This window comes from Homo sapiens, chromosome 5, assembly GCF_000001405.40.
Source record: "Homo sapiens chromosome 5, GRCh38.p14 Primary Assembly".
NCBI lineage: Eukaryota > Metazoa > Chordata > Mammalia > Primates > Hominidae > Homo > Homo sapiens.
The window spans coordinates 139,655,314-139,676,185 of NC_000005.10; the positions used below are offsets into that span (position 1 = coordinate 139,655,314).

The 20,872-nt window shown below is 57.8% G+C and overlaps 1 protein-coding gene and 1 long non-coding RNA gene across 16 annotated transcripts in view, besides 10 other annotated features; one reads left to right on the forward strand and one right to left on the reverse strand.

Moving 5' to 3' along the window:
• CXXC5 (CXXC finger protein 5) overlaps window positions 1-20,872 on the forward strand; it is a 36,584-nt gene that overhangs the window by 8,015 nt on the left and 7,697 nt on the right. For 3 of the 15 annotated variants that reach the window (NM_001317208.2, NM_001317210.2, NM_001317209.2), the window contains exon 1: window positions 20,130-20,225. The exons of 7 other annotated variants lie outside the window; for them this stretch is intronic. The gene's annotated coding sequence lies outside the window, so the exon portion shown is untranslated. Of the gene's footprint in view, window positions 1-4,241; window positions 4,329-10,266; window positions 10,491-12,919; window positions 20,226-20,872 lie in introns of those variants that run through there. 5 more of the 15 variants (NM_001317206.2, NM_001317203.2, NM_001317207.2 and 2 more) reach the window with 5 other exon arrangements.
• Window positions 3,447-3,536: an enhancer, noted in NCBI's record as "active region_23247". NCBI's record gives its function as "activates an Ori minimal core promoter by ATAC-STARR-seq in GM12878 lymphoblastoid cells {active_cell/tissue: GM12878}" and the evidence as "EXISTENCE:reporter gene assay evidence [ECO:0000049][PMID:35858748]".
• Window positions 3,615-4,464: an enhancer, noted in NCBI's record as "H3K27ac-H3K4me1 hESC enhancer chr5:139038513-139039362 (GRCh37/hg19 assembly coordinates)". NCBI's record gives its function as "activates a minimal SCP1, AML or CMV promoter by ChIP-STARR-seq in naive H9 embryonic stem cells {active_cell/tissue: H9 hESC(naive)}" and the evidence as "EXISTENCE:reporter gene assay evidence [ECO:0000049][PMID:30033119]".
• Window positions 5,687-5,746: a silencer, noted in NCBI's record as "silent region_16422". NCBI's record gives its function as "represses an Ori minimal core promoter by ATAC-STARR-seq in GM12878 lymphoblastoid cells {active_cell/tissue: GM12878}" and the evidence as "EXISTENCE:reporter gene assay evidence [ECO:0000049][PMID:35858748]".
• Window positions 6,016-6,582: an enhancer, noted in NCBI's record as "H3K27ac-H3K4me1 hESC enhancer chr5:139040914-139041480 (GRCh37/hg19 assembly coordinates)". NCBI's record gives its function as "activates a minimal SCP1, AML or CMV promoter by ChIP-STARR-seq in primed H9 embryonic stem cells {active_cell/tissue: H9 hESC(primed)}" and the evidence as "EXISTENCE:reporter gene assay evidence [ECO:0000049][PMID:30033119]".
• Window positions 12,481-12,530: an enhancer, noted in NCBI's record as "active region_23248". NCBI's record gives its function as "activates an Ori minimal core promoter by ATAC-STARR-seq in GM12878 lymphoblastoid cells {active_cell/tissue: GM12878}" and the evidence as "EXISTENCE:reporter gene assay evidence [ECO:0000049][PMID:35858748]".
• Window positions 12,513-13,462, reverse strand: LOC124901084 (uncharacterized). Its single transcript, XR_007058962.1, has 2 exons — window positions 13,375-13,462; window positions 12,513-12,636 (listed from the first exon to the last, which is right to left on the reverse strand). It is a non-coding gene; the product is annotated as an uncharacterized LOC124901084 (long non-coding RNA).
• Window positions 12,821-12,900: a silencer, noted in NCBI's record as "silent region_16423". NCBI's record gives its function as "represses an Ori minimal core promoter by ATAC-STARR-seq in GM12878 lymphoblastoid cells {active_cell/tissue: GM12878}" and the evidence as "EXISTENCE:reporter gene assay evidence [ECO:0000049][PMID:35858748]".
• Window positions 12,911-13,170: a silencer, noted in NCBI's record as "silent region_16424". NCBI's record gives its function as "represses an Ori minimal core promoter by ATAC-STARR-seq in GM12878 lymphoblastoid cells {active_cell/tissue: GM12878}" and the evidence as "EXISTENCE:reporter gene assay evidence [ECO:0000049][PMID:35858748]".
• Window positions 15,001-15,150: an enhancer, noted in NCBI's record as "active region_23249". NCBI's record gives its function as "activates an Ori minimal core promoter by ATAC-STARR-seq in GM12878 lymphoblastoid cells {active_cell/tissue: GM12878}" and the evidence as "EXISTENCE:reporter gene assay evidence [ECO:0000049][PMID:35858748]".
• Window positions 15,161-15,240: an enhancer, noted in NCBI's record as "active region_23250". NCBI's record gives its function as "activates an Ori minimal core promoter by ATAC-STARR-seq in GM12878 lymphoblastoid cells {active_cell/tissue: GM12878}" and the evidence as "EXISTENCE:reporter gene assay evidence [ECO:0000049][PMID:35858748]".
• Window positions 18,897-19,450: an enhancer, noted in NCBI's record as "H3K4me1 hESC enhancer chr5:139053795-139054348 (GRCh37/hg19 assembly coordinates)". NCBI's record gives its function as "activates a minimal SCP1, AML or CMV promoter by ChIP-STARR-seq in naive H9 embryonic stem cells {active_cell/tissue: H9 hESC(naive)}" and the evidence as "EXISTENCE:reporter gene assay evidence [ECO:0000049][PMID:30033119]".

Sequence of the window (20,872 nt, forward strand, 5' to 3'; positions counted from 1 at the left end):
GGCTAGTCTCCTGCTTCCTATGACCTTTGTCACTCACTGGCCTAGCTCTTCAATATTTCATGGCCCTTCAAGCCGGCCCCCTACCCCAGCCCACACAGCCCCCTTTGTCTCTGCCTGCCACCCCCCGCCGCCCCCCTGGGCATCCCTGCCGCTGAATTACTGACCCAGAGGCTGCCTCTGCCTTCTCCTAACTGTCCCCCACTGTGCCTGCCCCTGACACTTTCCCTATCCCTCCTGACCTACCTCCCCACACCTCTCCTTGTGACACCCTTCATCTCTTCGGGATTCTCTCCCCTTCGCTGACATCTCTGACCATCTCCCTGCCCTTTTCCTCCATTTCCCTCTTTTGTTGGCCTCCTCCTTCCCAGTGGAACAGAAACCGCGGCAACTGGTCCGCCTGCCTGTCCACCCCCCAACCACTGTCCACCCCTTCCTGCCCCCTCCCCCACCAGCTGTGCCGGCCGGCCGTGAGAGCTGGTTTTATTTATTTTTCTGTTTGTTTGGGAAGAGGGCAGTGGCGGCTCTGGGCCCTGGCTGCTGCGCTCTGCTTAGAGCAGCGGGCAGGCGGGCCTCACTGGCCTCCCAGGAATGTGGCTGGGACGCCCCAGCTATATTTACTCCCCTCCAGCTGCCGGCCCCAGCAGGGCAGAGCCAGGCCTGCCTGGTGGCCCCCGGGGAGCCCTGTACCCGCCCTCCTCTGTCTGGCAGACCCTACATCGCCCTTGGGCCCAGCACTCCCTCCCTTGCCTGTGACCTTTTCTGACCTCCTCAGACGTGCCCAGCCTGCCAGCAGGAACACTTGTGTGCCATGCCAGTACGGGCGTAATGTTCGGGCACTGGGGGCCTGGGTTCCTGTGGGGCAACCCCTAGCGGCCCCTACACACCCAAGTAGGGGCCTAGGCTGGGCCTGTAATCCGATGGCCAGAACTATGCAAAGCATCTTTCCAGGCCTTTCTCTGTGGGCCTGGCCCCTGCTCTTGCCACAGTCCCCTTGGCTCTGCTGTGATCACTGGCAGGGGTGGTGTCAGGTGGGGGCCTCAGTGGGCTTGAGTGGCTGTGCTCCTGGCATCACTGGATCCCCAGGTCTCTCACACAGGCACACATATGTACGTGTAACACACCTAAGTGCTTACATACACACACATGTGTGCAGAAAGACACCCTCACCCATGAAAACATGCTGGCTTATACCTTCCTTGCAGGCAGGGCCGTGCCTCCTGTCATTGATCCCCTCATTCATCAGATGCTTATTGGGGCTGCTTATTGGGCCTGCTCCTTGCCAGCCTTGCAATGGGATATGGCAGTGATTACTTCTTGTACCCCCAGTGCCTGGCACCAAATAAGTGTTTGAAGAACTTTAGCTGCTGCTGTAATCAGTTGCGGCCCCCGTTAACTGCTATTTTGTTTTTGTTTTTGTTTTTGTTTTTTTGAGATGGAGTCTCACTCTGTCACCCAGGCTGGAGTGCAATGGCGCCATCTTGACTCACTGCAACCCCCACCTCCTGGGTTCAAGCAGTTCTCCTGCCTCAGCCTCCCGAGTAGCTGGGATTACAGGTGTGCGCCACCATGCCTGGCTAATTTTTGTATTTTTAGTAGACATGGGGTTTCTCCATGTTGGCCAGGCTGGTCTCGAACTCCTGACCTCAAGTGATTCACCTGCCTCGGCCTCCCGAAGTGCTGGGATTACAGGCGTGAGCCACCACCCCCGGCCAACTGCTATTGTTGTAATAGATTGTAACAAAGCCAGTGGTAATGGGTAGCCCAACGAAAGTCCTCTCTGTGGCAGGCACCATGTTAACAGCTTTCTGACTTTCACTTTTTTTCATCCCCACAGTAGCCTCAGGTGACATGGGCCCATACCTGGGACAGATGCATGTTGTTAGCATCCCCATATACAGATAAGGAAACTGAGGCCTTGGGAGTTTGTGGCTTGCCACTGCCTAGTGGGATGGAGTCCTGGCAGAGCCCTTGACAGGCTGTTGGCCTCTGTGTGCTGTTTCCTGCACCTTCCACACTATCTGGCACACAGAAGGGACTCCTTAAATGCTTGCTGGGCACAGGCCTTGCTCTTTCCTCTTTGAGGCCCCCATAACCCTTGGCAATGGGCTGGATGTGTTGGGAGATGGGCTGATAGGCTAGTTGGGCAGACAAAAGTGAATGAATGAATGACTGGATGACTGGTGGTGAGGATAAGTACTGTCAGGGGACACTGGGGTAGGGGGTTGCTGGTGAACAGGCTGGCAGGTGGAGACCTACTGGCCCTGTGGAGGATTCTGGGAAGCAAGGTAGGGGCAAGGCGGAGAGATGTGGCCAGAGAGCAATAGGCTGCTAAGCCAAGCCAGTGGGGCGGGTCCTATCTTCTTTGAGGACCACAATTTTTCCATCTGTCAGATGGGCTTGGGAGCCTTTGTCCTGGCTGGCTGCCGGCTGGCCTGGGCTGGGACTGGCCTGGGAGGTGAGGGGACTGTGGCGGGAAGGAGGAAGCAGTGGGTGGTGAAGACAGGAAGATAAAGCGTGGAGCTTGGCTTGGAACCTGAGAAGCAGAGACCAGCCCTGACCTGACGCCCGCCCTCCCTCCCTCCTAGCCGCAGGATGGGGTGCAGGCATGCAAACCCCCCACCACCCACTCTCACTCTGGTGCGGGCTGACTTCCTGACATCTGTGGCATTAGTGGCTGTGTGTGCCAGGAGGAGGTGGCCTGTCCCCTAGGACTAGACCAGCTTCTCTCCAGGCCAGGGGCTCCCGACAGCTTCATGCCAGTTCCTGTTGACTCTGATGGGAGAGACCCAGCCCCTCTCCTGCCTGACCCACCTCCCCCAGAACTAGATGGGAAATTAGTTAACTGGGCTCATAGCAGTAGGCAGAAGTGGACCTGGCCCCCTTTCTTCCTGGGGCGGTCAGATCTTGGTGGCCTAGAATTTCTTAGTCATGGGAGTCTAGAATCATAGATAGAATGCTTGGAATGGAGGCATTTTTCAAGTCAGGATTCTCGTTGGGATTCTGGAATCACAGAACCATGGATTTTGCTGCTAGAAGGAAGTGTAAATGGTCATGTTTCAGTCTCCTTGTTTGATGCTAGGGGACACTGAAGCTCTAGGGGTCAGGCTGCCCTGAGGTCACAGGGCCTCTTGTCCTCAGGTGACATGAGCCCATACCTGGGACAGAAATACCTGTTCTGCCCCTAGCCAGCCCCTCTCTGGAGCTCTAGCCGGTGTGGAGAGTGGGCTGTGGGCCCAGTCAGGCAGTGGGGGGATGCGGCTGGCCCACAGGCACAGGAGGGGTCCTCTTGGCGGTGCCCGCCCGCCCGCTGCCCACGCTTCCCGAGGCACCAGCGTGAGGAGGAAATGCAGGCTGTTGCTTCCAGCAACAGCCGGCAGGGCCGGGCGGCTTCCCAGCTCCCCCTCTGACTCATGGCCGCCTGCAGCTCCCCCTCCCTTGGGGTCCTCAGCAGCCCCATCTGTGCAATGGGGAGAGGAGGCTTTTTTCAAGGTCTAACATCACCCTGACAATACCTTGGGATTCTTTTCAAGACCACTGTTGAACTGTAGGAGAGTTAGGAGTGTCATCTAGAGCAGCCTAGCTGGGCGTTTGAACCCAGAACACTGAGAGATTCTGTTTGGAGTCATCCTAATGCCTCCAGAAGCCTGGGAGGGCTCAATTGACTCCTGAGGCAGAAAGTGTGGTGGGAGGCAAAGGAATAGTGAAGGGACCTGCAGTCAACCCCTTTCAGGAAGAGCACAGTGGGGGATGCGTGGCTCTCTGGGCTCTCCCTGACCTTGGTTTGCCCATCTGCAGAATGGAGGTGGTTACCCATGAGGTCATTCATTCAGTGTCTGTGCTGTGCCTGGATGCTGGGGCTAGTGGCAGATCGGCTGGGAGGGGAGGATTCCTCTGCTGCAGACGGGTAGGGGTGTGACTTGGTGACTCCCGGGGAAGGACTGAGGTGGGGGGAGGTAAGGAGCCGGCCAGTGAGGCGCGGTGTCCAGCGGAAAATCCCAGCTGTTGTCAGGAAGTGTTTCCTCCACTGGTCTCCTGGGAGGGAGACAGGCTAGCAGGAAGGAGGGCAATGGGGGCAAATAAGGCCCCCAGCCAGTCCAAGTGGAGACATCCCAAGCCTGGCAGCTGGGCGGGTGTGCCCCGCACACTGCAGGAGGGCTGGAATGCACCCCCCATGCTCTGAGGCTGGGCCTATGCTGGGGGGCTGGGACTGCCAAGAGGGGCTGGGCCCTCATCCAGATTTCAAAGCCTTCCCCAGGGGCCTTGTGGTGCCCTCCACCCTGTCCTGAGCTGCCGCTGCGGGGGTGGCAGATGCTGTTTCATCGGTCGAGGCAAGTGGGAGCCCTCCGGAAGGTCCTCCTGGGAGGTTCCGGGGGGCAGCAGGGGTGTCCGGGGGCAGTGGGGGTGTCGGCAGCTGCTGCCCCGCCTGGGCTGGCTCTCAGTGGCCTCCCAGGTCCTTTAGGCCCCGGGGCCTGGAGGTGGTGCTTCTGCATTGAGGCTGGTCCCTCCTGCCCTTGCTTTCTCCCACTGCCCACCGAGCTTCTTGGTTGGCTCTGGCCCCCTCCATCCCTGGCTGTGTCTGCAAAGCCCCCCGGGAAGGCAGGGAGGAGGCGCAGCAGGCTCAGAACAGCGGGTGCCCGCGCAGCCAAGTATTTGCTCGAGCTGTCAGAGACAGACAGGCATGTGGGGAATTTGGTGCGTGTGGGGCTGGGGGAAGCAGCCGGGTGGGCAGGCAGGCAGGAGGAGGGAAGCTGGGGCTGCCTCCCAGCCTGTGGAACCCTGCAGAGACCACCTCTCCCCAGTCCTAGAGGCAAGCTGCATCCAGGCACCTTCCTCCTGCCTGTGCCAGTGCAGTGAGGGGAGCGGGATGATCCTGTGGGGTCTGATAATAGCTCTGACACGGGGAAGGGGGTGCCTTGTCGAGGGCCTGCAGGCTCAAAGAGGCTCTGGTGGAGTGTGGAGCCAGGCAGGAATCCGGGTTGTGCCCGACTGTGGCCTCCAGGAAATAGCAGCTGTCATGCTCCCGCCCCTCCACCCCAAGCCTGGCACAACTTGTTTCCTGGCCAGGATCCGGCCAGGGCAGATTGGAGGAGCCTGGTATTGCCCGGCCTGGGCAAGGAACAGGCAGGATGCAGGGGCCATGTTTATAAGCCTAAAGGCGTTTGGGGTGCTCTGGGGAGGGGACCTCAGCCCTTATCTCCTATGCGAAGACCCCAACCCAGTCACCTTTGTGGTCTACACTCCAAAAGCACCCATTAGGTAGGGTAGGGCCCAGAGCTGAGTAATGCTTGGTTTTTCGTAGCTTGAGAGCCCAGAGAGGGGGATACGCTGCCCCAAGGTCACACAGTGGGCTCCTCAGCCTTCCCCTCTACCCTCATGTGGGTGGGGCCACTGGGAATTGGTGAACATGGGGGGGTTTGCTGGGGTGGGGGGCCTATATTTAGTCAGTCCTGCAGAGCCAGGGCGCCTCTGGGAGCAGCTGCTGGGGTTGGGGGGAGTACACAGACAGAGGCCTAGAGCTGCATTTAGTCTGGACAGAAATATCCTCCCCCCACCCACCCACCCACTGGCTGGGAGGCCAGGCTGCGGGCCTGTCCCCTGAGGGGCAGCTTGCCTGGGCCTGGTGGCCGGCGGGACAGGCAAGATGACCCGATAGGCTTTTCCCAGCTCAGGTTTCGATGAAACAGGAACCCCGGAGCTGCAGCCTGGGCCGAGGGGGCCAGGGCAGCCGGAGTCTGGGGGACCAGGACAGCCTCCCCCACCTCCGCCCTCATGCTCTTCCCCATGCTGCAGCCTCCCCTTTTCAGAGGCCTGGGGAAGCAGCAGGTTATTTATCAAGCCAGCCTCCCCGCCGCGGCTGCCCGCGCCGCCCCCCCACCTCTTGCGCTGTCGGCCATCAGCCCAGCAGAGCAGGGTGAGCTGGGCGGGCGGGCGGCAGGATTAGCTCAGGAGACGTGAGTCACCCCATCCCCAGCAGCCCCGAGAGGCCCTGCGGCCTGGCAGTTAGAGTGCACACTCACGCACCCCACACGCGGCACACCCAGGCACACACTTAGGACAGACACAGTCACTTGCAGCACACGTAGTTCCACACGACTCAGCACACCCAGCCGACACGCGTGGTACAGACTCGGTCACATGCACCATGCACACACAGCTCCCATGTGGTGCTCCAGAAGCACACTCACGGTTCCAGCCACAGCCCAGCCTCTGGCACACACACCCACTGGCACGTACCTAGGCGAATGCACATACACAGGCACACATAGGCGTGCACACATAGGCCACTCTCACCCCATTGGCCCCACACACTGGGGCCTGATCATTCTCAGGCCATAGCTTACCCCTAGATGATGCCATAGAGTGGGCCAGGGCACTGGCACACACAGGCGCAGCTGCTGTGGTCAGGGCTCTGTTCCCCTAGACGCCCCGTGTTTAGGCTTACACGGAAGAGGCCCGGCCTTCAGCCATGTTGTGTCCACCGGGTTCTGCAAGGTGTGGGTGGGGAAGTGGAGATGGTTTTTTCCCATAGCCAACCTGGCTCTGCCCTCTCTGGGGAGGAGGTCCAAGTATCAGGCATGAGAGTGTTAAACCCACTGCCCTCTAGTACGGGGCCTCTGGCCCAGGCAGAGTGGGTTGGGTACATGGGGGAGAGATACAGGGGAGCTGGGAAAAGGAAAGGCTGGAGAAGGAGTGCCAGGGAAAGTCGATTTCCCCAGGACCACTAAGTGGCCAGCTGGTTCCCTGACCTGGGGCATGGGGTCCTTGGGAGGTGACAGGGTGTGCCAGAGATGGGGGGAAGAATGAGACCTCTGATCAAATGGGCCCAGGAGTCTTTCTGCCTACCTTCCCTGCTTACCACACACCTGCTTCTCCCTGTCCCCTTAGTTGCCAAGGCCCTCATTATCCAGTGCCCCCACTTAGATTTTGGCCATGTCCCTGGTTCTTAGTCTACAGCCCTGCAAAATGGGTACAGAGCTGGCTTATGTATAAGGAAGTCCTGGGGTGCTGAGAGCTGAGGGTATGCCCTCAGGGAGCCTTTTTAAGCCTCTGCCCGCCTTTGGGGTTGGGGCCTGCCTTCCTTGCACTGGGCAGAAATAAGGATATACCCCTTTTCCATATGCTGCCAAAAAAAAAGCCGTTTTTCAGATGAGAGAAGTGAGTCTGATGGGAATGGCTTCATGGTCATGAAGGGCTTTGGATGCAATCTCCTAACACCCAGACTACCGGTCATTCTGGGCCTACAGTACTGAGACAGCCTAGCAGTGGTCAAAGGGCATGTGGCTATAAGGACTCAGGCCCAGTTGGGCTCCCTCCTCCTGGCCACACAGTTCTCCATAAACGACTGGACCGTGGTTGAGGAGGAGAGAGGGACCCAAGCATCCTGAGGGACACAAACAGCAGTGGCCAGTCAGGAAACTGGATGCCCGTGCCGCGGACTCTGGAGTTGGACAGGCCTGGGCTCCACACCTGGCTTGGTCGCTGCCTGCTATGTAATCATGGGCCAGTCTGCTCACCTCTCTGACCTCATGTTTGTCACCTGTGAGATCGGTATGACTCTCATCTCTGTCTCAAAACCGCAGGACCTGAAGTAGATGGTGGGGTGTGTTGTCATCAGTTCTCATTATGTCACCTGGATCTCCAGGCGAGCATGCCCCTCCACCTGCTCCACTAGACCTGGCATTTTTCTGGGGGTGGCATCCCACAACAAGGGCTCCTTAATTAGAATGTCTTGGATTTAGCCTTCTCTAGGGCTGTTCTCAGATGGGGATGCTGAGGTACCTGAGTGAAGAGGCTGAGCTGGGGGCCAGGGGTTGGGGGAGGGATGGGAATGGGTTGGACCCAGGGCAAAGGAACCCATGGGTGTTGGGTGGAAAATCCTGGAGGCTTCCTAATATCAGAGGGAGCAGAGAGAGCCGACTGTAGTTTCAAGGCTTTCTCTGTCTCCCACCCCCTATGCTCACACAGCAAGGCTATATGTTAGACTTGAGCAGGGACTTCCAGGTGGCAAATGGAGCCTTTGCAGGGTGGCGAGAGGCTTGGGATGTGCCTTTGTGGCAGGGCTGTCAGGGCTGTGGGAGATCTAAGAAGAGCCGACATGAGCTGGCAGGGCTGAGGGCGAGGGAGGTAGGAGGAAAGGCTGTCTAGAAGTGTAGGTAGGCCTTCTTCCTTTGGGCAGAAGAGGAGATGCAAGCCTGGCCAGTGGGGTGCTACCCTCGTTGTAACCTTCAGGCTTCTACCACATGTCCATCCCCCCATGGTCCTGCAGGCTAGACGGGGAATGCTTTGTATTTGGGGCTGGGGAAACTGAGGCATGAAGGATTGCCTCAGAGCTCAAAAGCAAATGGTGAGAGAACCAGGGCCATGACCTGGGTTACCCAACACGCCTGGCCTGACTTGTCCGTGACGTTCACACTTATGCTGGCAGATGTGGACAGTAAAAACAACAACATGGCTATCCTTAGTTGAGCACCTACTGCATGTGGACGCTACACTGACCCCTTCACATAGGTCCTCTCCAGGACCTGACGAGGTGGGGGCTGTCAGCGGCTGCATTTCACTGGCTAGGGGTTGGGCTCAGCGAGGGTCAGCAACCTGTCTGAGGTCACCTAGGCTGGAGGCTGCAGAGCTAGGAGAGGAATCCTGACTCCAAAGCCCCACTTGGACCCTGGCATGGCCTGAGCCTGTGTCTCTGAGATGAGGGGCTCCCCTCGCCCCATTACACACAAGATGTGTAGTGTTCCTAGTTGAGCCAGCCCCCTCCCCCATGCCCAGCTCCTTAACTCTCCTAGGTCCCTCTGCTATCTCAAGGCACTTTCCAGGTTTGAACCTAAGAGCATTGGAACTGCTAACCTAACCCCTTAACTCCAGGGAGGAGGGTGGATGGGTGGGTGGGGGATCCCCTGAGGAGCAGATGGATGCCCCTTGGGGTTTCTGGGTTCTTCCTGCAGACAGGTTCTGGGAAACTCCATGGTTAGGCCTGTGGAAGCTGCCTCGGGGCCTGGTCAGGGTTGCGCACCTCCTCCACCCCCTCCCCAGGGGCTCCATTTCCCTCTCCTGGGCACCCTGCAGGGAGGAGTTGAGCAAGTGCCCTTGAGCTGGCACTTCCTCTTTGGTATACAGGGACATAGCCACAATGACCCCCCATCCCGTGGTCCGTGTGTCACTTAGCACCAGGCGCTGCATGGCCCTGGGTCAGGGCTCACTAAAGGTCACTTCATCGGGTTGACTTTACTAGAGGCTAGTCCCAGCCTCAGATCATTTCCCCTTTCTGGTCTCAGTTTCTTCATCTGTGAAATGACTGTGCGAGTCTGCCCTGCGTGCTCTCTGAGGCAGGGGTAAGTTCATTCCCCGCAGACAGACACACTTAGGAGCTTTGTGACTGGTGTTCCAGTCCCCCAGGCCCAGAGCTCCTGTAGCCCTGACACCTGCACAGGGGTCCAGGGGAAGAAGTGTGGGCTCTAGAGTTGGGCCAGCCTTCTTTTCAGCCTCACCTCCACTGTCCACACTTGCTTGACCTTGACCCACACCAGTGCCCCACTCAGCTCTGAGCCTCAGTGTCCTCATCTGCAAAATGGGAGAATCATGATGCCTACCTCTGTGGGTTGCTGTGACCATCAAACAAGATGATGTGGACAGAGCACATGGCACAGAACTGATAGAGTGTGGTGACAGCGGAGCCCTTCCCCCCAGACTATCCTCCTGGTCACTGTACCCCAGCCTTGGTCTTGAGGATTCTGGGAAGGAGATGGTGCCAATCTGCTGGCTCAGCCAGCTTGGCCACTGACCTTCAGAGCACCCAGGCTGTCAAGGCCGCCAACTGCCTGCTGGGCGGGCAGGGGGGAGTGCCAGCCAGCTCCTCGCCTGACGCTGCCCGCTCCTGCTCCCACTCTCCTCTCCCTCTCTGCGCCTGTGTGTGAGCTAATTAATCTCAGCCCCTTTGGGAAATTAGAACGCCGCAGCCGCGGCCTCCTCAGCCTCGCGGTGCTTGTGCTGCTACTGGGCCATGCCAAGACCCGCTGTGGTTTAGGGGCACCGGGGTGGGGGATGGGGGCACCGGGATGAGCTGGGCCGGCCATGGGTCTCCCAGAGCCCCCACCTCCTTGCTGGAATGCTCTGGTCTCTCAGCCCCCTCCTTTCCCAGATAGCATCCATAAGGATGCCAGGCCAGTGCCCAACTGTGGTAAAACCTAACCCCCAGTGGCCTCTCTGACCTGGTCCCAGGGCTGTTATGGCCACCCCCTTACACCACATTCCATCTCATTGCAGGGTCCTCTTGCCTGCCCAGCTTGGGCTGATGGAGACAGATGTAATTATGGAATTTTGCTTGGGAAATTAATTTGAAAAAGTTAATTAATTGGTGGTTCCGGAGGTGGCGGGCTCCACGCCCGGCCAGTCTTGCTGACGTCAGTGCTGACCCACTGGAGACGTGCAGCTTCCGGGCAAGCTGGGCAGAGGGACCCCGGTGACCTGGCTGGGCAGCCCTGGAACAGGTAGATGGACAGCGAGGAGCAAAGGGCAGACCAGTGTCCTGGCCCAGAGTGGGCACCTGGGAAGGGTTTGTTGACCAGACCTGCTGAGGATAAGAACCCGGCCACTTGTTTGTGTGTTCAACAAGCCGTTGTCAAGCTGCTATGGTACACTGACCCCAGTGTCTCAAGTGCCCCCAACCAAAAATAGACCAGTTCTTCCAAACCCCTTTTCTCAAGGAAAACCTCTAAACCTATTCTCAAAGGCTTTTTCAAAGGGCTCAAAGGACATTATCGGGCCAGTGTGCAGATGAAGCCACTGAGGCTCAGAGAGGGTGGGCCTTGCCCGGCTTCTCAGCAGTGTCCTCCAGCAGGGTGGAGCAGAGGTGGGTAGAGCTCAGTCTCATTTCCAGAGGACGTGTGCCCCAGCTTCAGAATCCCATGGGCGGCCTCCTCCCAAGTATGGGTGATAGGGGCCTTGAAGTTGACTCTTCCCAGGGAGGAAGCCACAGAATATGGCCAGCCCCTTCACCCCCTTCACCCCCATCCCTGTGTGTGCCTGTGGGAGCTTCCCCTACTACCCCATCCAAGCCTCAGAAGACCCCCATGCCCCAGGGGTCTCAGGGTACACAGAGACCCCCACTACCTCCTGGACCTCCTGTGGGTCTTCTGACCACAAGCCTCAGCCAGATCAAGTCCTAGTTTCTGCAGGAGCGTGGGCTTTGGTGTGGTCTTTGTCCAGACAGGAGAAGGGTCAGGGCTGGGGCAAGAATGGCCAGGCCTGGGACAGGTCAGGGATACTGAGCCACAAAGAGGCCAGGGAGATGAACGTGGGCGCTCCTGAGCTATGTGGCCTTGGGCAGGTCCCTTAGCTTCTCTAAGCCTCATTTTGCTCATGCGGGAAATGGGGATGATCACAGATGCCATTCAGAGAGCTGCGGAGAGGTGCAGGGACGCATAACCACTTGAAGTGGTGCTGGCTCTGGCGCAGGCTGTTTCACTGCCCAGTGGAGGCAGGCTGGGTGGAAGAGCAGTGAGCTGACTGAGACTGTGCTGTGGCTGGGGCCTGAGGACCAGTGGGTTTTGAGAGGGGAGCCTGGTGCATGTGTCAGAGGAACTGAAGAATACAGGAGATGATATTTGTGAGACCCTGGGCCCTGCTCCAACGGAGTCAGCCCACCCAGCATTTACCCTCTGACTTGTTTCTTGTGTTCCCTCACCTCCAGGATTTCCAGGGGCCAGGTGGGCCCTGCTCAGTTTAGTATGCCTCACCTCCCATAGCTGTTCAGGATCAAAGGGAGCATCATGGGCAGGCTGAGCTGGGCACTTTGCATCCCTGTCACTCTGATGTGGTCTGTAGTTCTGGGTTTCTTCAAGGTCCAACCCCAGTCTTGGGTTTAAGTGGGTCACACCCACTCCCTGAGCATCCTGTGTAGGCTGGTTATGGGGTCAGAGGAGAGGCATTTCCTCCTCCCACCTCACCTCCTCCAAGAAGCCCTCTGGGTACTGCTCCCCAGCACTTTGCCCATTGACTGAGCACTCAGGGTTCTCTGCACAGACTTTTTTAAACCTTTCTCTGTGTGTCCCTACACTGGGAGCTCTCTGACCACGGGGTCCATGGTATCTCCTGTCTATCCTAGTGCCCAGCACTGGGTTAGCACTCAATGTGGGGGCATAGGGCTCTTGTGCCCCTATTTTACAGATGGGTCAGTTAAGGCCCTGCAAGGTCACACAGCCTGTTGAGGGGCAGAGCCAGCCTGGTTCAGGTGGGTGTGGGGCCACTTGGTACCGGCTGGGGTCTTCTTTCAGGCCTCAGGACCATTCCTAGGCTTCCTTAGGCCCTGCAGCTCCTGACCCTCCTGGCACTATTCCTGGAGGGTGAATAGTCAGTCCTGTGCTCTTAAGAGCTTGGGGGTTTGGGGGTTAAGGGGTTGTGGCATCAGACTGAGGGTCAGAGGGCAGGCCTATGAGCTTCAGTTTCTTCATCTGTAAAACAGATCTTAGTGTTTGGGGGAGCAGGGGTGGCTGAAAGAGATCACGCATATGTTGTTCTCGCCATCCTTATTATTACTACTGACACTGTTATTTTGTTATCATTACATTATTATTCATGCTCCCAGGGCCCCAGCAGCTGCGGTGGCTCCAGGCCTGGATGCAGAGCTCTGGTGTGCTGAAAAGAAGTTGCAGTTCCTAATTAGTCAGCGCTCCAAGGAGAGGGCCTGGGTTTTAATTTTTGCTGCAGGGTCCCACCTGCCCGAGGCCTCCCAGCCCCTCTCATCCCTTCCTGGGCTGGGCCTGCGGCACCCTCCCCAACCTCAGGTAGGGGGCCTGGCCCGAGGCAAAAACCTCCCCAAATTTCCCCTGCCACTCCCTCCGCCTCCCAGACCTCTGGGGCCATGAATCATTTATGAGGCAAAAATGAAACCAATTAAGGACAAACTTTGAAAGCCTCTAATTGCTGCGCCTGGTGGCACCGTGGAATGAGGGGAGGCCAGCCTTCTCGGTGCGGAATCTCCTTGGCCCAGGCCTTCCCAGGCTGCCCGTCCCGCCGCGGCTCAGGGCGCCTCCCGGCTCCCTGCCGCCTCCCAGCCGGACGCGGACGTGCCTGCGCGGCTCTGGCGGCCGCGTCTGCCGCCCCGGCGCCCGCCCGGGTCCCAGGCCGACTAATTAGGCCCGGCTACCTCCCGCGCCGCCCACTGCCCGCTCCAGGCCCGCTGCCCGCTCCAGGCCCGAGGTGATGGCGGCTGTTCCTGCCGTTCTGGGGCCTGTGCCCCAGAGCTGGCCGCGTTTCTCGGGGCGGGAGCCAGCTCTGCTCGCCTGGCTTAACCCAGACGAGCCCAGGACGCCCTATCCCTGAACCCCATCGTGGCGTGCAGGTCTGAGTAGGCTCTGGGCCATGCCGGGGTACCTGGCTTGGAGGCTCTCTTCAGTCTCGGGAGAGATATGCTTATCCCAGGCGGAGCGGAGAAGGCTGGGGGATGACTGATAGGGGGAGTCGGGAGGGGATGTTGAGCCCTGAGGTGTTGCACTGAGCACGGATCCAGTTCCTCTTGGCTTTGCCACAAACACAGTGACCTTATGTAGAGTCCTTAGCCTCGGTTTCCCCGTTTGTAAACCATCAGCACCAGCCCATTTTCTCCTGAATTTGGGATTTAGGGAGCTGGGCTTTGTATACCCCTCCCAGTCTCCTCTCTTGGGGGGTTGCTGAGGGGGTGGAGGTAATGTCTGGACCTAGCAGGGCCTGCCTTACTGCCATGAGCCCTGGATGCCAGTGGCCAGCCTGCTCGCTGTGCTGAGGGCCAGGCAGGCCCTGGGCACTGAGGCACGTTGTTTGCTGAAACCAAATTTCTGTGCTTGTGTTTTTCCATAATTATATTAGCAGGTGGGATTTTTCCTCGGGGAAGCAGTGGGAGGGGGAGCGCCATGGCAGTGTCCCCGCCCGCTCTAAGCGTGAGCTCACACTCAGCTCTGCCCGCCTGCCGTAATGATTTTTTAATTATGCAGCCAGTGCTCGGAATTGCTAATCCCCCTCCAGCCCTGCATCCCCTCCTGCAACTCACACCCCAGCCCCTGGCTGATGTCCCTAGAGTGGCGGTGCCCAGCCCCGTGCCCATCACTGAGTGCTTGGGACAACCGCCATAGCGGGAGAGAGGGTAGGTCAGGAAGGGCCGGAGGGGCGCCCCTCCGCCATCTGCAAGTGACAAGACTTGTGGCTCTCTTTGTCTCCCACCCTACCCCTAGACCCAGCATGGCTCACACCTGCCAGGACAGCTATGGCTTTAAATGAGTTTGGGGAGTGATCGGTGCCCACACCAAGTGATGTGGCCACACTCATTTCATGGACATTAGCCTGTCTTCCCAGCCTTGTGTGACCCCAAGGACACAGGCACACAAGTACAATTTTTGTCACACCCATACTCACGCTTTACTTCCCTTCTACACACACACTCAGCCCCACAGCCAAGCTACACACACACACACAATGGCAGGCTCTGCGTGCTTCTCACACATGTAGCCTTACCTGAGGGCGGGGGCACCCTCAGGAGACCCCACTGCTGCCTCCTGTGCCCTGCAGTGGCCCTGCTCCCACTCCCTTGCCTCCAGACCCCCCAACCCCATCCCCATCCACCCTACTGGGAGGTGCTCCGAGGTCTTCTGGCTCCCGCCTCATGGGGTGGCTGCCTGTGGCTGGGGCCAGCCTGAGCCTCCATCGACCCTGGCCTGGGGGAGGTGCTGGGGGGGTTCTGCAGCACTGTGGCGGCGGCTCCTCTCCAGGCGCCCAGCTGTGGCATCTGTCAAGGTCAGATAGCGACTCCGGAACCAGCCGGCTCGGCCCCATGGCCCCTCTCGCCTCATTATTTTTGTGTTCCGGGGCTGCGGCGACACCTCCCTCCCTCCTCCTCAGCCTCCCGCCTCTCGCCTGCCTCCCCCACGCCTCTGCAGGGAGGGCCTGCGGTCTGGGGGCTTTTGTTTTCCAGTTTTTTCCACGCTCAGGCCAGGCAGGCGGGTAGACACTGGCCAGAGCTGTTGGACCTTGAACAGCAGACAAGACAGGTGTCCCCCTTAGAGCTGGGACAGATTCTCAGCTAGTGGAACCCTGGGTTGGTTTCTCAGAGGCACAAACTGAACCTGGATGGAACCAGCCCCCACCACAGCCCAGGTGCACCTGTGGGCAGCTTCCTGTTTCCATAGGGGCCCTAGCAGCTGGCACCAGTTCCTGTCTACACCATCCCCGTCCCAGTAGGGCCCCAGACTCATACAGCCCAGAGCTCCTGACACAACTCACAGTGCATGCGGACATACACACACTGGCATTCATGCGGCAAAGATGTGTTGACACGTACAGACCAGAAGACTCCACAAACATCCTCTCACCACGTAAACCACCCTATTCGCACACACGTGCACTTGGACATCCATGTACATTCACAGACTTGGGTCGCACACACATGCCTCCACTTTACCCTCAGGGAGGTCACAGAGTCAAAGATCTCCCCCAGCACTGCTACATGATCCCCATATATGCTTTAATGCTGTGGTCTGTAGAGGGCGACATCTTGAGACTACACACTCAACCGGGCACATTCACAGTCCACTGGACACACACACAGTTGTGCAGCACACCTCCCAGGTAGACACGCGAAAACACACTGTATGCATTGCTCTCGTCACCATACACACTCCAGCCCCCTGAGCCCGCTCCCAGGTGCCCAGCATCCTTGGGTAGTTATGCCACCCGAGGGGCTTTTGTCCCCCGAAATACTGGGAAGTGAGCTTGAGGCCTCAGCTTGCTGAGCCCTGTGTCCAGGGAGCCTCGGAGAGTGGGAAATGGTTTGACAAGGACTGCCCGGCCCCTGCCCAACCTCACTGTGTACACCACTTTAGGCCCAAGAGCGCCAGGATGGCGTGGGATGGGGCGGGGGGTTCCAGGTGTGTCATGATGGGCTTGGTGGCTGCTGGCAGAGGCAGACTCTGGGGGGTGACCTCAGCTCTGTCTCTGGGTCCCTCCTCCCACCTCCAGCCCCTGATTTGGGTGTGTAAATGTTGGAGGAATGGGGTGTGGGCAGACTCCAGGCCCCCAGGGTCTCTAGAGTGGCCCTGGCCATCCCCTCTCTTCCTCCTCCAGCTGTGGACTGCTGTGACTGCCCCCGGGAGAGGAGCTAGATGGAGGCTTAGCAGTGGCTGGGCCCCCACCCCCCAGGAAACTCAAAACCCTGGGCCAGCCGCGGGTGGCGGGTTGGGGCAGGCACAAAGAGGGCCTCTGTGCGGCCGGCTGGGCTGCCCACAGGATTCTGGGGGAGGAGGCCGGAGCCGGTTTCCGTCCCGTTCTGCTTCCTGCGGAGGCTGCGGAATGCCCGGAGCTCTGGCCCAGCCTGCCCCGTCTGGCCCACCCGCAGCCCCTTCCCCATCTTTTCCAGGGCCTTGGGGTACAGCTGCAGACTTCTCTGCAACAGGGCCCTGAGAGCCACCCTCCAGGACCCAAGGGAAACCTAGGGGATTTCCCCAAGCCGAGAGCTGAACTGGACCTCACCCTTTAGCTGAAGTCTTCCTTCCCTCCATGTGCTGTGGAACCCTCAGCCAGGGTTGGAGCACCAGGCCCTGGAGTCACACAGACCTGGGTTTAAATCCTGGCTCTGCCACTTACTGACCTTGTGACCTTAGGCAGGTGGCTTTATGTCCCTGAGCCTCAGTTGCCTCATCTGTAAAATGAGGATAATAATAATTGTAGTAGAATCCGGTGAGAAAATGCATGTGAAATGCTTAGCACAGTGCCTGGTGGACAGTGAGTGTGCATTATTAGGACCTGCTGTTTATTTTTTTTTATTTATTTGTTTGTTTGTTTATTTATTGTTTTGAGATGGAGTTTTGCTCTTGTTGCCCAGGCTGGAGTGCAATGGCGTGATCTTGGCTCACTGCAACCTCTGCCTCCCAGGTTCAGGCAATTCTCCTGCCTCAGCCTCCCGAGTAGCTGGGATTACAGGCATGCACCACCACGCTCGGCTAATTTTTGTATTATTAGTAAAGACAGGGTTTCTCCATGTTGGTCAGGCTGTTCTCGAACTCCCGACCTCAGGTGATCCACCTGCCTCGGCTTCCCAAAGTGCTGGGATTACAGGCGTGAGCCTGTACAGGCCAGGGCCTGCTGTTTATTTTAATGTCCTCTGGGGAACTTAAGAGTGGAAGGGACTGGATGCTCCTTGCCACGATAGGTCTCACCTCTTCTACGGTTCAGTCTCAGCCCTGCGTCCTGCTCAAAACCCTTCTCTCAAATCAGTTTCCTATCTGCAGATCATATCAGTGACTGATCTCGGCCTCTGGGGCCTTCCTCCTGAGGTCTGGAGGGTGGAGGGGATCGCTGTCTGGAATCCTTTTTTTCCCCTCTGTATCTCTACCTCCTTCCCCATGATATGCCCTGGGATCGTGACTTCTGCAGTAGTTTGGGGTGAGAAGCAAGAGCCATTCCTTTCCATTTTACAAATGGGAAACTGAGGCTTAGTGGCGGAAAGAGCTTGGTCAAAGTCACCAGTCAGGGAGGGACAGGGTGGAGCCACAAACCTAGGCCTCAGGCCTCCAGTTCCCTAGCCAGTCCTAGGCACATATGCCTCCCCCAACCCCAGACACACAAACACACCCCACACAGGAGCCCCAGAAGGACAGTGCGCCATCTCTGATTTCTTGACTCGTGCATCCCTGGACTAGCCTTCCCTGGCTTGTCCCATGGTGAGGCCCATCAGTAGGGAGGTCCTGAGGGGGTACGTGGGCCTGATTTCTGATTGGTGTCAGCTCAGAGATCACCACATTGGGAAATGTTTACTACAAGATTCAGGGGATCCCAGATAGACAAGGCGTCATTACACCTGCTTAAGCAAATTGCCTGCTCTAAATGGGGCAATAATAGGACTTCCTTCAGAGATTGGGTATGAGGATAACATGAGATAAAGCATGGACAGTGTGGCACATAGGAAGAGCCCCATACTTGTTAGCTATGGTCCCAGGTGACAGATGGGAAAACTGTCTCAGAGGCCAGTTTTTTCCCAAGGTCAAAAAATGGGGAAGGGTCTTCCTGAACCTTTGACTCTTCCAGGAAAGGAACCTGGCCTGAGGGAGGTGCCTATTGAGGAAAGGGCCTGTCTTTATCAGAGGCATCCCAGGCATCTCAGTCCCTAGAGCCCCAGGTCAGAGCTTACTCCCTGCCCGGGGCCTCAGTGTTGCTGTGCATGAATGGGCTGATCCCCTCCTCCAGCTGTTTTGGGGAGCACCGTAAAACAGAACAGAGCCTGGCTGGGTGCGGTGGCTCACGCCTGTAACCCCAGCACTTTGGGAGGCTGAGGTGGGTGGATCACCTGAGGTCAGGAGTTCAAGACCAGCCTGACCAACATGGTGAAACTCCATCTCTACTAAAAATACAAAAATTAGCCAGGTGTGGTGGTGTGCGCCTGTAATCCCAGCCACTCTGGAGGCTGAGGCAGGAGAATTGCTTGAACCTGGGAGGCGGAGGTTGTGGTGAGCTGAGATCGGGCCACGCACTCCAGCCTGGGTGACAGAGCAAGACTCTTGTCAAAAAAAAAAAAAAAAGAGAGAGAGAAAACAGAGCTCTACATACTCCAGGTTTGCTCAAACCCTTTAGTCCTCAGGCCAAGGCATGGTTGGCACCCACCCCAGCAGGAGGGGTGTAAGAGGGTCAGGGGTGTGGAGTCGGGGATATAGAAATGCTGTCCCTTGTTCTGTCCTTGGCAGTCAGTCTTGGGGTGACTCTAGTGGGGTTGAGGCCATGTCTCACCCCAGGCCACCCTCTGGGTGCTCGCAGTGGCCAGTGTGTGGGGGTATGTGTGTCCATCCATAGCTGGATGTGTGCCCTGTGCTCTCCGCCTGGGGCTGCGTTTCTCCCTGCCTCCAAGACCAGTCTCCCTGGGCTTGAGCAGGGCTTCTTTTTCCCTCTGGAAACTCCCCAGGCTGAATCATGGAAATCAGAGACGGGACACCCTCCCTTCCACCCCATTGCCCAGCTTGGTTCAACCACCATAGCCTGTGGTCTGCTTTGCCCACCATCAGCCTGTCTGCGTATTTTGCCTCACTTGGAGGCAGGCCAAGGAGACCGGCCCACCAAGGTGGGGGGGAGGAGACAAGGGCCGGGATGTCAAGTGCTGCATGGAAGCGTGGAAAGTGGTGCATTGAGCCAGGGTGTGCAGCTCTGCTGGGCCAGTGTTGGGGGTCCTGAAACGCAGCCTCTTCCACGAGCCTCCCTGGGCAGGCAGAATGGCTGCAAGGCTGGTCAGCCAGCAAGGAATGGCGGGGATGGTGCCTTGGTCAAACCCTGCCCTTGGTAGTGGTGATGGTTGCACAACTTTGTTGATTTACTAAAAATCATTAAATTATATGTATACTTTAATGTGGCAGAATTTTATAGTATGTAAACTATACCTCGATAAAACTGTTTTTTAAAAATCCTGCCAGCCAGGCGCAGTGGCTCACGCCTATAATCCCAGCATTTTGGGAGGCCCAGGTGAGAGGATTGCTTGATCCTCATAGGAAGACCTCATCCCTACTAAAAATTAAAATAATAATAATAATAAAAATTCTGCCCTTGGCCTCAAGGCCCTGCACAACTGGGACCCTGACAGCCTCATAGACACACCTCACATCTTCTTCCCCACCTGCTTAGGCTCTCTTTCATGCCTTTGTCCCCTCTCATTGCTTCTCCTTATCCTTAACTCTCAAACTAGCAGTCCCTTCCTCCAGGAAGGCCTCAGATAGCTCATTGTGTCCCCTTCCGGCTCTTGTTTCACGCTGGTTCATGTGACTGTGGGCCCAGCTCCTGTGCACTCCTGGAAGGCAGTGCTGGGGTCTGGGTCTGTGTGCTCTGCTGTCTCTCCGGTATCATAAGGTACAGGGCTGCTGTCGAGGTAGGTGCAGGGAAGATGTGTGCAAAGGAATATCTAGAACATCCAGCTGTGGGCCACCTGTGTACATGTCTGTGTGCAGATGGCACTATGTCATCCCAGGATGTCCCCTCCTTCCCAGTGCTTTCTGGCCCGAGAGTTCAAGATTGAACCCTGCGGGGGGTGAAGTGAGGCTCTTCTAGGGCTGAGGGTTGAATAAGGGCACTGCCACCACCTCCAGTGACCTCACTGCCAGCTGGCATTATGATGTCACTGGCTTAGCATTCCAGGCCCTGGGCATCTCCAAGTGCCCCAGGTGGGGGCACTCTCCTGGGGTCTGTGACAGCTTGCCCCCAACCACGGAGAGGTGACAGGCACGGTAACAATCCTGGGGAGTGAGAGCAGCCTTAGGGGTACCTAGGTCACCTGCCTTGGGCCACTCTGTCAATTGCAAAAGTGGCCACAGAACAGGGTGACTAACACTTGGGCTCTGGGTTCAAGCTCTACCCCTGCTAGGCACCAGCTGTTTGACCTGAGGCTGACAGCTTGAACCTCTCTGAGCCTAAATTTCCTCATGTCTGAAATTGGCAAATAGTTTCTGTCTCCCGGGGTTCTGGGGAGGCATTCAGAAGCTAAGACATGTAAAGCATAAAAGCACAGGGCCTGGGACACAGTAGATACTCAGTAAATGCTGGTTGATAGGATCCGTTGGTTAAGGAAACCAGAGTGGCAACACAGGTGGTGGGGGCTGGCTAGAAGGGGGCAGGCTCCGTGCCTTCTGGGGCTGGCCAGAGCCTTAGGGTAGAGGCACGGGGTGGCCTCCACTGCCAGGAAGGTGGCCCCAGGTATGAGTCTCCCTCCTTCCAGCTCAGCCAGTTAGCTGGAGCCTACAGGAGGCATTGGGCCCTGCAGCCATGCTCTGGGGCCAAGAACCCATTACCCCCCACCTCCTCCTCGGTACTCCCCAGTCCTCCTCCCCAGCCTCCTCCCCACCTCCTCCCAAGTCCTCCTCCCCTGTCTTCTCCC